Source organism: Homo sapiens, chromosome 3 (genome assembly GCF_000001405.40).
Source record: "Homo sapiens chromosome 3, GRCh38.p14 Primary Assembly".
Lineage (NCBI taxonomy): Eukaryota > Metazoa > Chordata > Mammalia > Primates > Hominidae > Homo > Homo sapiens.
In genome coordinates this window covers 63,651,242-63,665,894 of record NC_000003.12, presented here as the reverse complement: position 1 = coordinate 63,665,894, position 14,653 = coordinate 63,651,242, and the positions used below count along the sequence as shown (strand labels likewise).

The following is a 14,653-nucleotide window of genomic DNA, read 5'->3' as shown; positions in this document are numbered from 1 at the left end:
ACATACATGTTTTGCCAGCCATAAACTCCTGGAAGGTAAAGACTGTGACTCGTTCCTCTTTGCCTCTCTCTTGGCAACAGCCTGCGGTAGAAGTGCAATACATGTTAGGTGACTGCCTGCCTGATTGTGGAACTTAGCAAGTGACTGGAACAAAATGGGAATCAAAGCCGGAAAACTATGTCTCCTGTTTCTCCTCCCCTTTTGGCACCTCTTTGCTTCTGCCAGGATTCTGACTCTGAAATTGATTGCCTCAATGATCCTGGACCATCATTTAGCTACTGTAATCCTCAGTTCCTGCAGTTGGAAAGGGGGAACATTATTACTCCCATGTAAAGATAGAGTAAGATGGCATCTCTGAAAGCCAGGGTTGATGAAGGCTTGTGCCTCTGGCTGTTGCCCAGTGCCCGCTCTGGGGACCTTGAGTGCCCATTGCCATATGCTGAGCTACCCTACTGGGGCCTGCTGTCCTCAAGTGAGGTCCTACATGAATAAAAATCTTTGTGAGAGTCTACCTTAAAGGTTCAGGCGTTGACTATATGTGTGTATGTAATTTATATTCAGGAATACAGGAGGTGGTCATGGGAGTCGGTGTGGGTCTCTGGGATATGACTACTTTTACATCATAATCCCAAGGAATTGTTGGTTAAATTGTGTTCAGAGATTACAAGAATACTGGGTTTTATTTTTTTGTTAAGTCAGATTTATTTAGGTATAATTGACATACAGTACAATTCACTCTTTTCAGTGTGCAGTTCTATGAGTTTGACAAATGCATGCAATCTTGTAGCCACCACCTCACAATCAAAATGGAGACCATTTCCAGCCCCCTTAAAAGTCCCCTTGGCCAGACTTGGTGGCTCAAGCCTGTAATCCCAGCACTTTGGGAGGCTGTGGGCGGATCACCTGAGGTCAGGAGTTCGAGACCAGCCTGGCCGACATGGCGAAACCCCGTCTCCACTAAAAATACAAAAAAAATTAGCCTGGCATCGTGGCACACGCCTGTAATCCCAGCTACTCAGGAGGCTGAGGCAGGAGAATCACTTGAACCTGGGAGATCGAGGTTGCAGTAAGCTGAGATCGTGCCATTGCACTCCAGCCTGGGCAACAAGAGCAAAACTCTGTCTCAAAATAAAATAAAATAAAATAAAATAAAATAAAATAAAAAACTCCCCTTGTGCCATTTGTGGACAGCCCCATTTCCCACCCATATCCCTGGCATCCATGGACCAATTTTTTTTTTTTTGCTTTTTATAGAATGTCAGTAAAGCTTTTCTGACCTTTGAACTCCGATCAGGTGATAATCTCTTTTAGCATCCTATAGCCCTTATTTCAATTCTAATTATACTGTGTATGCAATTATTTAAAAATTGTTCAATGTCTATCTCTTCTGCTAGACTTCTGCAAACATGTCTGAAGGAAGGAATTGCCTGGCCAATTCATTACTGTATCCTCAGCAGTTCCATCAAGTAGATGCTCAACAAATGTTTAGTGAATAAATGAGTGACTCAATGACTATAAGTAGAGTGCTCTAGGTCGCTACTGACTCAGCAAAAGCCATTTATTATTCAGTGGTATCAAATCTATCCTATTGTAAAGCACACAGAGACCTTATCATTCAAACATTCTTGAAGTGTATGGGTAAATATTTGGAGTTACATTGGATCTGAATACCAGCAATCAGAACCATCCTAGGCAATTTCAGATGCATGATAGATATATTCAATTAATCAAAAATAAGATGGAAACATTTTAATAACACTGTCTTTTGCCATTATTTTATACAGCATATTTAAAACTGTTCATTTCATAATTTTTACATTCCGTATATTTTGTAGCAGATCTGACATGACAGTGATGCTTAAGAGCAAGATCATGAAGTCTTCAAAATCTAGCTTATTTTCTGTGTGCTCATCAAGTTCAGAAAGGATCTCTCTGTATTTTGGCTTGGTTTCTTGTCCCTGTGAGAATGGAGAAATAAAAACCGAATTCGTTGTATAGACTTTAGGTTTACAGATCATAAACAATAATGTCTTAGTCTGTTTAGTGTTGCTGTAATAGAATACCTGAGACTGAGTGATTTATAAAGAAAAAAGAAAAATTTGGCTTACAATTCTGATGGCTGGAAAGTTCAAGATCAGGCATCTGCATGTGGTGAGGACCTCAGGCTGCTTCCACTCATGGTAGAAGGTGAAGGGGAGCTGGTGTATGAACAGATCACACAGCAAGAGAGGGGGCAAGAGGAGGAGGGAGGGTTCCAGGCTCTTTTAAACAACCAGCTCTTGTGGTAACTAACAGAGTGAGAACTCACTCACCACCCCCAAGGCAGGGCATTCATTTATTCAAGAAAGCTCTGTCCCCATGACTTCAAACACCTCCCATAAGGCCCCACCTCCAACATTGGAGATCAAATTTCAACATGGAGTTTGGAGGGGACAAACATCCAAATCATAGTAAATAATAAACATGTTATTAACAATAATAACACATCAAGTTGCCAACAATGCTACCAGTAAAACACCATGTGAAATCTTTTTATGTGTTATCTCCTCTAATCATCATAGTGACCTTATTGAATATATACCACTATTATCCTCATCCTACAGATGCAGTATCAGAGACAGGTGATAATTAAGAGACTTGCGCCAAGCTGGAAGATTTTGGTGTGGAGCCAGGGTTTGTAGCCCATCTACCTCTTGACAGCCCATACTCTTAACTGCTAAGCTATTCTGCCTTTTTTTGAACACACATATTATGTTTTTAAATTTTCAAAATACAATCTTTGTGTTAGGGAAGGTATCTTCTATGGGTTCGTTATCTAAGACTTAAGATTATCCAGAAATATAGAATATAATATGCTAAAAGAAAATACATGCTTTGAAAGATTATTTAGCTTTAGTTTGATTATAAATCAAACTATGTTCACAGTGTTCATAAATAGTCAGATTGAAGGAAAGCATCTTAATAGTATATAAATGGAGAGACTTTTTAATTTCAAATCACAGCTTGTGAAATATCTTCCCCAGTGACAATAAAAATGTTAAAGTCATTTGATTCACCATTATATTGAACCATATTTGCATTTAGTTTGTTCCCAAATGCTCACCCATGTGCTAGGTGTACAAAGCCATCACAGCAATGACTAAGGCACTTTGGGAATGATGCTACATTCCTCTTATAGGCTGTTTCTCCTCAAGAGGTCACCATCACCCTATCCATGAGGGCCAAGGGGAGCTCTCTACTCTCTCCCTCCAGGAGAGCTGAGTGTTATTTAGAAAGGGTCAGATTCCAAGACACAGGTAGACAGGACCACTTTACTAGCAGAATGGCACACTGTTTGCTCAGAGGTATGAGATAGGTATTGGTCTTCTTTTATTTCCTGCATATTTTAAGAGCACACCATTTTCTGAGGTCCAGTCCTCCTGGGGCATGACCTGTCACCTTTTTGTATCTTCCCAGTAGTGCCTTTAGGTGCTTTTTAAAATTCTATCTGACTGGCTATAAGGTGCTAAGATCCCCAAAACCATGTTTAGCCTTATGGGAAAGGCAATGTTCCCCTTAGAACTCAGGCCTTCGCCAAAAGAACCAGCTCAGTTTATCAGGGGACGCAACATGGGGATTGAGGAGAAAGCCCAGTTAGGAATGAAGTGGGCTCCTGAGCTTTGCCATTGACTCACGTGAATGCACCTGCCCTAGGGGGTCTCATGGGGCAGGGCGGTTGGGCCAAGGCAGCATTCTGACAGACATTGCAGAGAATGCCTTGGAATGAACTGTCCCCTCAAGTCCCTGAAATATGGCTCTGCTTTCATCTTGAGCAGAGGGCAAGATTACACTGAGGCCTGGGTGTGCCTGCTGCTAGAGAGATCCAGAAATTGGCTGTACTTCTAGGGTTTAGCCTACACTGAGAGACATGAGGCTGAAGGTGTCTTTCCTAAGGACCGGTTTTTAATTCTTTTCCCCTGGTGTTCTGAGAGGGATGATGAGTTACATCAAGATGGTGCATCCATTAGTTCTTCATTTTCATATGTGTTAAAAGCTTGCTGAGCATTTGCCAGGTTACCAGGTAATGAGCCCCCTTTCTGTCTGGCATATGGGCCCCATTTCTTTTGGCCTTGGATGTGGGCAAATGGTATAGGATTTATTTACCCATCCTTTCCTTAGACTCCCCAAAACTTGTTATCTCTTGATAAATTCTGCCTGATATTTCTGCCTGAAAAAGTAGCTTTCCAAAAAAAAAAAATCAGAAAAATACATGTTTAATATAGAACATTTAGAAAAAGTAAATTTAAAAAAAGGACTGTGACTGTAACCCTTTACCCCATTACTCAAAATAGCTAACCCTTATTAACATTTACTTCCGTTCATTTATCTGTGTATTACACTATATTCTCCCTTTCTCTTTTGAAATAATCACCCACTCACAGAAAGTTGTACCCTTGACTTAGCTCCCCCCAGTGGGTGACATCTTATATAACTGTAGTGCACTGAAACCATATATAGGTGTTTATGTATGTGTATGTGTGCATATATAGAGAGAATAATATCTTTTCAATATTTCAGAACAGATACAGGGACTTGGAGACTGCCTCTATGTGCTTTCTTGCTCTACCCATCAATAAATATTGATAGTTTAAGCTGATATGAGGCCCTCTTTTCCTCTTACACATTTTCCCTAGGCTGGTATTTTCCAAAGTATGAATATATACTGCCGATAGAATGTAATGCCATTTTAGGTGATGCAAGAATAAATATTAAACACTAAATAAGAATTGATAGTCGTCTATTTTTTCACTATTATTTTTTACTCTAATCCACTGAATTTACAATAAGAATAATGATACGGTGTCCTTATAAAAATTTACTTAAGTAGAGAGAAAACATAAAGGAAAAGTTCTAAGCAACACAGGCTATAGGCAGTTGTGGGAAAAATACTAAATATGGTATTCAATGACTGAAATTCGAGAAATATACCCTTAGGTGAGTAAGGTAGTAACCTTTAGGCCAGTGACTGATTATATACTGCTGACTCTCATTTCCATATTTTGAACACAGATCTCTATTCTCACCTTTGAACTCATCTGTCCTGTTGCTAAGTCTTCCTCTTAAATATTTCATGGACATCTAAACACTGACACAACCTAATGAAACTCGCCATCTCCTCCCTACCTCCATCCCACCTCAAACCTGCTTATTCTTTAGCCTTTTTCTTCTCTAGGAGTGGGAACACCACCATTCCTTTTGTAAGTCAGAAATTGGGTTGTCATCATTTTCTTTCCTATCCTTCAACTCTCACAGTCAATCAATTGTCAGATCTTGTTCATTCCACCTTCTAAACGTCTCTTCTATTTGTTTGTTTATCTCCATCTTCACCGCCGTAGTCTAAGCCATCACCATCTTTCTCTTGAATTGCCTCCCCACAGCTAGTTATTCCCTTTTTTCCTATTCCACCCCCAACCCTAGTCTGTTCTCTGTACTGCAGCTGGTGTAATTTCTTAGGCCTGGACGTAGACATAGTTCCTGGCTTCCTCTTGCTATCAGGCTATGCTTCTGTAAGATTTGGCTTCTCCTCGCCTCCCCAGCCTCATCTCTAACCACTTCCCAGCTACCGTCCCATCCCTTCTCACCAACTGGCCCTCCAGATCTCTGCTTGGAACGCCATCATTCTCACTCCCCCTTGCCTAGCTACCTCCTGCTTATTCTTCAGATCTCAGCTATACCTTAGTTTTCCAGGAGCCCATCTTTGATTACCTGCCCCAAGATAGTTCCTCTGTTTTACTCTCACTGAATGCTCTACTCTTTCACATCCTTTGACTATTTTTAATTACTTTTTTAGTGTATTTCTTTCTTCTGCTGGGGATTGCTGTCTTCACTGCATCAACTCCAGTGCAGCTCACTGCCTGGCATAAGGTAGGTGTTCAATAAACATTTGTTACGTGAGACAACATGACAGGGACCTGGAGCTGGAGTTATTTGCTCATTGGGTCAGCCATGAGGGTGTAGTTTCTGTTTCTTTATGCAAGTTAATTCTCTCACCTCTGCGAAATTCCTAAATTGGGTTTGCAGCAGATCTTTGGCAATAGCTTTTTCAAGTTTACCATCAGAGTCAGAAGAATTTCTGAAAATCAGAGCAGTGGTGGCAATAGCTTTTTCCAGATCTGAGCACTTCCTCAGAGCTAGGAGAGAAGAAATGTGGAATAAAGTATCCTGAGTTAGAAATAACCCTTCCCCAGACCTGCTGTTGTGTCTTCCAAGGGAACTGTAGGGAACCTTCTAAATCTTGGCCCTTTGCCTCCTATCTGGGAGAAGGATGTGGGAGTTTCCAATCCTGCATCTTTAAACAACCGAGAACAAAGGTCCCTTAATAGCAATTAGAATTAGTAGAGTTAGATATGAGATTTACCACTTGCTTGCCATGTGACCTTAGAAAAGTCTCTCACCTCTCTAAGCTTTGGTTTTCTGATCTGTAATTTCATTCAGTTATTCAACAAATATTGATAGAGCATGTACTATGGACGAGGCTCAGTCCTTGATATTAGGAATCACCGAATAAAATGAAGTCCTACTCTTGTGGAATTTATATTCTGTGTCAGACACAGCATCACTTCGTGTCAGTATGAGAAAGGAGAATGACTTTCAGGAAAAGCTCTTTGCTATAATGATGAATAAGGGTTCTCTTTGACTCGTGGCCTAAAACAGAGTGATCTCCCAGCTGGTTTCTCTCAGGTAAGCTTCTTGATAGGGCAATGCTAATTCGTTTCTTTCCACTGTGCTGCTGTGAACACAGGGAAATGTACAAGTTACCATGAAGAAAATTCGTATGCTTTGTGTTCTTTTAGTCACCAATACATCCCCTAGTGTAGAACTTATCACCCTTTACAGATATTACATGTTTACCTGTCCTTTCCTCAACTAGAAAGCAGTCTCCATGGGCCAGGGATCAGACCTTTTTTCTTAAAATCACTGTATTCCCAGTGACAGTACAAATGTCTGCTACATTGTAGGTGCTAATAAATGCTGTTAAATGAATGAATCTGAAGAAAATAAGAACAAAATGTCCCAGCTTTCAGTCCAGGTAATGTGCAACAATGACAGTTTCAAAGAATGATGTTCAGTCCGAATAACATGATTTTCATATTGAGTGCTTACTAAGTGCCTGTTACTTCCCAGAATACAGAGCGGACAAGACCAGATGTGGGGCCAGGCACTGGATCTCATGCCTGTAATCCCAGCACTTTGGAAGGCCGAGATGGGATGATTGCTAGAGGCCAGGAGTTTGAGACCAGCCTGGTCAACATAGCAAGACCCTTGTCCCTATTTTTTTTTTAATTAAAAAACCTCAGATGTGGTTTCTGCTCTCATAGATCTTACGATCTAGCAAAGAAATCAATAATAATCAAGAGTATGTATATGTATACACATGTATTTATTTTTTCTGTTATTGTATGTTATTTGTCCACTTATATATATTTTACATATATATATATATATATATATATTTACAACTTGTGATGTATGAGGCAAGGAAGGTACAGAGACAGGAAAAAAATTACAGAGTGGGTCTGGGAGGAAAACTACTTAGATGGGTGGTCTGGAAGGCCTCCGTGAGTAGATTAATATTTAAGCTAAGATTACTAGGATGAGGAGGAGCCAGCCACGAAAAGGGTGAGGTTCAGGGTGAGATTAGGAATTTGCTGAATGTTCCAGGCTTGGGAAGCTGGATACGTGAAGTCTCAGGTCAGAAGAAATCTGACATATTTGGCAGATTTCTGAAAGAAGACAGTTGTGAGTAGAGTCTAGGGGCTGGAAGGGTGTTTGTAGGCAAAAGCTAGATCATGCAGGACTTGTAGGCCGTGTAAAGGAATCAGGATTTTCTTCAAAGTGGAAAGAGAAGGCATCAAAGCATTTTGAGCAACTAATTTTTCAGTTAAAGGTGAGGAGGATGGACAAGAGTGAAGACAAGTGGGTGAAAGGAGGAAGTGTGTGGGCCTTCTCAGTTTTTATTGTATCTCTGAGCAGTGCCCAGGCTATATATTTGGTTAAATAAAGTTCACATTGCTAAGATGTCGCAAAGAAAGTATATGAAATCTTTGACTTCAAAGTCCATAGAAAGATTAGCCACTTAGGAGTATCTTCTTGCAAGGGCATCCCCATCGTGATTGTGGAATCCAGATATTTTTTGACCCTCTGATGAAGTTCAGGTCTGACTGCACTCTGAAATGGGAACTCCATCTGGTCTAGCCAACTTCCCATTCTTTTCCTGCATCTCTTTTAAAAAACAGCATGCCTTTCCCTTCACTATAAAATAGCATATGGCCATGGTAAAAACAGAGCTAGAAAATATTAAAAATAAAAGATAACGAGGAACTCTGGTTGTTCTAATAACACTGATGATATTCGGTGAGGCGTTTTAGTTTCCTGTTTTTATGGTTGGATTCTTCCCTTAATAAACCCAGCATGCTGCCTCTTAATTCCTTCACTGTCTGCCTCGCAGAGTTGGGAACTAGTATGTGAAAGCATATTGTAAAGGGCTAAGTGCAACTGAAAACACAAGGGACTGCTCTTTCTCTTTTGGCATCTTTTATTGGCTCTCTTGCCTCTGGAATGGGGGTGCAGGGAAAGACATTAAGCCAGGCCGATTTCTGCTGCCCTCTTTGTTATTCCCTAGCTCACTGTCAGTACTTTAATAATACTGAACTGTGTGTAGTCGCTGCATACTCTATCCATCCAACAAGTATTTATTGGCAAGTATTTATTACCAGGCCCTGTGATAGTTCTGGGGCGTAGGGCAGTGAGCAACATCAAAAGAACAAACTCTGACTTTTTGGAGCTTGTGTTCTGGTGGACAATAATATACGACACACATTCTACATGCCAATGACTCCTCCCTGGGATGAATGCACATGACTCAACTCACTACATTCTGATGTCAGTCCGATGAGGTATGTCTTAGTATCAACCCCCACTCTATCGATGAAGAAACGGAGACAGCAAGAGGCTAAGTATTATAGCTTGCCCACACAACTGCTCTGGTTTCACTCCAAGATGCACGCTGCCTCTAGGTGTTGTGTTTTCAGGCAGTGTATTTTGCAGGACTCTTTCCCAAACTCCCAGGTGGGGCTACATGTCCTTCCTTTGTGCTTCTGTAATTCTTAAACATAATCTTTTCATAATCTTCAAACTGAAACACTCTGTTTATATTATCTTCTACATCAGTGCTGTACCCCCACCAAAAATAATTTGAGCCACAATCATAATTTTAAAATTTCTGATAGATGGCCACTTTAAAGAAGTAAAAATAAACAGGTAAAAGTTAATTTTAATAATCTATTTTACTGAAGCCAATATATTAAAATATTATCATTTCAACATGTCATCAATATAAACAAATTATTGGGATATTTTACATTTTTTTTCCTACTAAGTCTCCTAAGTCTTAACACATCTCAATTCAAATTAACCAAATTTCAAGTGCTCAGTATCTACATGAAGCTGGTGGCTGCTATACTGTATAGCACATTGGACTATATATTCTTTGTGGACAGTTATTGCCTCTTGTTTATCTTTGCATTCATTCCCAGGCCCTGGCATGTTGTAGGCTTCACTATACATGTGTTAAACTGGGCTGTTTTGAACTTCAGAAAAATCCTCTGCCTCTTCCTCCTCACCTGCTCTGGAATGTGGAACACTAAATCTCCTAATTCGTTCACTGTCAGTTCACATTGAATGGTGTCATGGAAATACCAGTCTCAATACAGAAGAATGAAAGAATCTCCTCATTTTAGAACTTGTCCTAATATCAGTTATTTTTGTGAATGATGTGAAGACCTACAGGAGAGAAGTTGTTTGCTCAAGCTCACATAGGTAGTATATATCAGAACTAAAAACTAGGTCCCTGCTGTCTACTTTTTAGGCCAGTAATTTTCCCAGTGCTTCTCAAATTTTCCCACTGCAAAAATACCCTGGGTGTTAGAGGCAAATATATACTCACCCTGCATTCCTAATCCTCATGAGATTGGGGCATAGGCCCAAGTAGCCAGCAGAGAAAATGTGGGTTTGTATTGACTTCTATGTCACGACCTATCCATGTCTGATTTTGATGAATAACATTTAGAATTACTTCCCACTAAATAAAATACATTCTGGGGAGATGAATCATGTTTATCCTGTGTTTTTTTTAAGGCATAAGAATAAATGTGGTTCAGTGGTCCGATTTAAGGAGTCTGGTGCTAGGAATGTTGTGTACGTGGGCAGGGGTGGGTGTGTGGTGGAGGTGACCGAGTTACAATCTCAACCTCCCAGAAGGAGAAGTTATGTTAGACATGTGATGGGACAATTCTCAAAAGTGCCTGAAGTTGTGTAAATTATTGAAACATAAATCACCAGTCTGCTGTGTTGTAATAATATAAAAATAGTTCCATGAAGATGGAGATTTATTTAAATAAAATTACAGAGTCTCTTTTGGAGAGTTTGGCTAGTCATCTAGGAGGGAAAAACCTGCAATATAGTAATGTACAGCTGTGCTTGTTACTCTGTAAACAGGTGAAGCCTTATACTTTTGAATAAAAGAATGATCCAAGTATACAAGCGTTTTTTTCTTACATTGTTATTTCCATGGCAATGTTGTTAGTCCCAAACTTATTTTACCTATGCAATTGATTTCCAGGGGCAAATATTTACACTTCGAGAGGTGGCCACACTGTTTCCACTCAGTCAACAGAGGCAGTTGGGAGCTGATTGCATCCTGAGTTCCACTTAACATTCATGAGTCAGATACTCATGGTCCTGCTCTAGACATTCTAAGGATGCTGCCCTTGGAGACGCAACTGGATATGGTGGGAAGAACGCTGAATTAGGAGCCAGGGGATCCATGGTCTCATCTCAGCTCTGTCTTTAATGAACTGTGTAAGTTTAGGTAAGTTAATTCCTACTCCGGGACTTCAGTTCCCACATCTTTAAAAAGAACATCATGAATATTTGATGATTTATTCAAAAGTTCCCTTACATCTCTGGCATTCTTTGATGTCCTATTATTTTTTTTTAACACTTGGCATGCCATCTTGGTAGAGGAGAAAAATGTACATCTGCGTCATCTGTGCCTTACCTTTCACTGAAGCCAGTTGTTTGGATATTGAAATCCTGCCAACAAAATGAAAGAAACAGAATGATTCTGGGAGTTGGGGTATTGATATCAGCATCTATAGCAGAGCAATATAATGATTTAAAAATTGTTTATTTTGGTAAACATTCTCTGAGATTTTAGTGGAGCAGCCATCTGTGTTTCAAAATCCTTTTTCTCCCTGCCACATAGTAAAGAAATGCCTGCACATGGCTGGCCAGCTACCCACGTATATCAGTCTTCCTTGTAGTTTTGCAGCTATGTGACTAAGTTCCTCCAGACGGAAATGGAGCAGAAGAGAAGTGAATACCTTCCATGTAAGCTCCTCCATGCTTTTCCCCATTCAAGCTGACTAAGGTGGAAATTATCAGGAAGACTTTAGAAGCCACATGCTGATCATCCTGTGTCTCACGTGACTGCATGGAGTAAAACAGTCACAGACCTGGAACTCCCACTCTGGACTGTCACATGGCAAAGAAAAAAGGACTTCGCATTCTGTAAAATGCTCAGACTTTGAAGTTTTTTTGTTCCAGCAGCTTAGCCTTCCTAACTAAGAATCTGGGTATTATGCTGAGGTGTGGGATGCATGAGTGACTGATAGAGACATTCCTACCCTCTTGGGGCTAAGTCTAGAAAAGAAGACAGTTACTAGGCAGGTAACTCGATAAAAAGTAATGGCAGAGCACATAGAGAGGGCAAAGAGGTAATAACCTAGTCTACAGTGAGGGTAATGGCACTCTGCCTGAGCCTAATGAATCAGTAGTGAAGAAGGAGGAAGCGTGTTCCATGCAGAGGAAACTTATGTGTTGAGGCCTGATGTGGCAGAAATCACCATATGATTGAAGAACCAGAGGAGGTATAGTGTGGGTGGCACCTAGAGAAAGAAGGAGATAGTGGTTAAAGGCCAGGCAGGGCCAGGGCATATTGAGCCTTGGAGGCCTTATGGAGGATGCCAGTTATTATCCTAAGGGCAACAGGAATCACATGATCAGATTTGCATTTTAGGAAATTATTTCATGGTTATATCAGAAGTAGATAGAAAAGGGGCCAAATTGGAGGCAGGAAGTTGTATCTTGCTCTCTTATAAACAGCAAATCAAAGTTTGCTTGATTTTTCAACCCCCAATGGCTGGAGTGTTTTTTGAGAAAGCCAGTAAGGATAATAGAATTTGGTAGTACCTTGGATAACTCCTTAAAAGGAACTTTTGGGTTCAGGATCTGGTTTTGGCATTAACTACTTGAGGGAACTTTGTCTTTAGGGGTTCCTCATTTTTTTCACTTGTAACATTACAAAGCTGGACCCTGTGTTATCTCGAACCCTTCGTGGTCTTCTTGGTGAGTGCCTCCTGCTCTTCTACAACCTCTGCACCATTATTATTTCCTTTATAAGAAGAAGGACGTTTCACTTTGCACAATGTGCACTGGTAACATGGCATGTATTTCTTTCTATTGCCATGATTGAGAAGGGTCTCAAGGGTCTGTGAGACCCTTGAGAAGAAAGAATCATGCAGTTCATATCCATATCTCCTTCCCCTGCCCTCGCAGACTACCTAGAACTTGCTAGGTGTCCACAAAAGGTTTTTGAAACTAAAGCCAGTCTCCTAAATGAAATTATATGAGAAAGAACATTTTTCACTTATTAAACATAACTTTACACATTTGAATAATATAAAACAATTTCTCTCTGTTGTGCATAATTTGAGAGAATATGCTACACAGTTAAGTCATCACCAATTTTGATTTACAAATGTTTCTCAAGAGGCAATCAAAGATATTTGCATTAATTGCACCATCTTTTCACTTTGCAGTCAAGGCTGCAAGTTTGTTGTCTTTGTTTTTCCAAGTCAATTTAAAGCCGGATTAGGGTAGGTAATAGGCACCAAACTGGCAATAACTTGGCTTATAAAGCTGTTGACATAAACTCTTTGGAAATATATCTGCAAGCTTAAATGAAACTCAATAAAAGACAGCCAAGTGCCACTGACCTTTTGGGCATTTTCCTAGGTGCGCAGGTGGATGTTGGGGCTGCAGAAGGATTGGGATCTCCTTCCAAGTGGAGAGATTTGTCCTGGGTACTGTGCATACAGCCACCCATTCTCTCATCTTCTGTTTTGTGTCAGTCCTTCCTAAGCAACAGTCACTTGCCCACTGTTACTATTGTCATTCACTCCATGGCAACTATACAGTTGCATGTCTAGAAGAACTTTTCCACAGTGTCATTGTATTTAGACATAAAATCATTCAATAAATATTTTCATGCCTACTGTTAGCATGGCACTGTACAAGGTGCTGGGGAAACAACAGTGAGCAAAATCAGATGTAGACCCTGGTCTTAGGGAGTTTAGTGGGAATGACTGATATTAATCAAGTAATTGCACAAAAAGTCACACCTGTGAACAGTACTATGCAAGGCAGATGCCATGAGATTGACATCAGTCAGGGAGGTCAGCGAGGCATCCCTGGGGAAGTGATGCTTGATGATGAGTAGGTGTTAACTAGGTGAAAGGATAAGGGATCCATATTGTAGACAGAAGGAATAGCCTGCGCTGAGCCCTGGGGCAGGAGGGAATGTGGTGATCAAAAGGGACTGAAGGAAAGCCAGCGTGACTGAACCAAAGAGATCGGGGGCGTGTGTCTCAAGCTGAGGCTAAAGAGCAGACTCAGTGGCCAGGCCATGCAGGAACTTTTAGGTTACTGTAGGGATTTTTTACTGTATGTCAAAAGAATAGGAAGCCATTTGTGTATTTTAAGCAAGGAGGTTAATGAAGTTAAATTTACATTTTTGAGAGATCACCCCAACTTCAAAGTGAATAATGGTTTAGAGAGGTGGACAGAGTAAATATAGGAAGGCCGATAGGGAGGCTATTTCTCTTGTAGCTTAGAGCACTTTCTGTAAAAACGAGAGGTTGTATCAGCTCAGCGAAATGAGTCAGGTTCAGGAAAGACATGTCAAACAATTGCCTAAGTCACTGATGAGCTGATGCGTGAGAGGAGCTAGAATTCTCAAGAGAAGCTAAGGATAATCACTATTCAGGCTATGATAGGCTCCAGGGTCTCTGCCATCTTACTGCTGCTTCACTGGTCACTGCTCCACCATCAAATGACCATGTGTGTCACTCTCCCATTGCCTGCTTCTCTTTATGGGTTTTCTTTTTTTTGTTCCCTCTACCTCTTCATTAATTTCCTTAGCATTTTCAATTCAAATTTGGGATACAGGGGAAAGTTTGACTGGTCTTACTAATTACCATTGCCCATGCTGGTCAGAGTTTTAGTGCCAGTTCACCCCATAGGTAGTCAGTTACCCCATGCAATTAGCTCCTGTGGGTCACGTGATGACCCCGAGCCACTCTCACTGCTCAAGTGAGACCCTAGAGATGGCTTCCTCAGAAGGGGCAGTCTGGGCAAGTTTCCCAAAATCTGGATTTTCTTTTTTTTTTTAATTTATTTTATTTTATTATTATTATACTTTAAGTTTTAGGGTACATGTGCACAATGTGCAGGTTTGTTACACATGTATACATGTGCCATGTTGGTGTGCTGC

At 40.5% G+C, this 14,653-nt stretch overlaps 1 protein-coding gene across 2 annotated transcripts, besides 1 other annotated feature; it reads right to left on the bottom strand.

The window, feature by feature from the left end:
• Nucleotides 1-682: 682 nt before the first annotated feature.
• Nucleotides 683-13,220, bottom strand: SNTN (sentan, cilia apical structure protein). 2 transcript variants are annotated; one of them, NM_001348756.2, is made up of 5 exons: nt 13,098-13,220; nt 11,099-11,133; nt 6,031-6,170; nt 2,109-2,198; nt 683-1,958 (listed from the first exon to the last, which is right to left on the bottom strand). In NM_001348756.2, exons 1-5 carry the CDS (start codon nt 13,205-13,207, stop codon nt 1,800-1,802), a joined length of 534 nt encoding a protein of 177 aa, NP_001335685.1. In that variant the 5' UTR covers nt 13,208-13,220; the 3' UTR covers nt 683-1,799. The 2 variants fall into 2 exon arrangements, with proteins under 2 accessions (NP_001335685.1, NP_001074006.1); NM_001080537.2 differs by lacking the exon at nt 2,109-2,198.
• Nucleotides 13,374-13,898: an enhancer, noted in NCBI's record as "NANOG hESC enhancer chr3:63637673-63638197 (GRCh37/hg19 assembly coordinates)". NCBI's record gives its function as "activates a minimal SCP1, AML or CMV promoter by ChIP-STARR-seq in naive H9 embryonic stem cells {active_cell/tissue: H9 hESC(naive)}" and the evidence as "EXISTENCE:reporter gene assay evidence [ECO:0000049][PMID:30033119]".

Bases quoted from the DNA above. Each gene is read 5' to 3' on its own strand.
- SNTN (NM_001348756.2), bottom strand. From the start codon at position 13,207: ATGGGTGGCTGTATGCACAGTACCCAGGACAAATCTCTCCACTTGGAA. The intron at 2,199-6,030 runs GTGAGAGAATTA...TTCATACACCAG, and splicing joins AATTTAGGAATTTCGCAGAG to CTCCCCTTCACCTTCTACCA. The intron at 1,959-2,108 runs GTAAGCCAAATT...CCATTCTCACAG, and splicing joins ACTTTCCAGCCATCAGAATT to GGACAAGAAACCAAGCCAAA.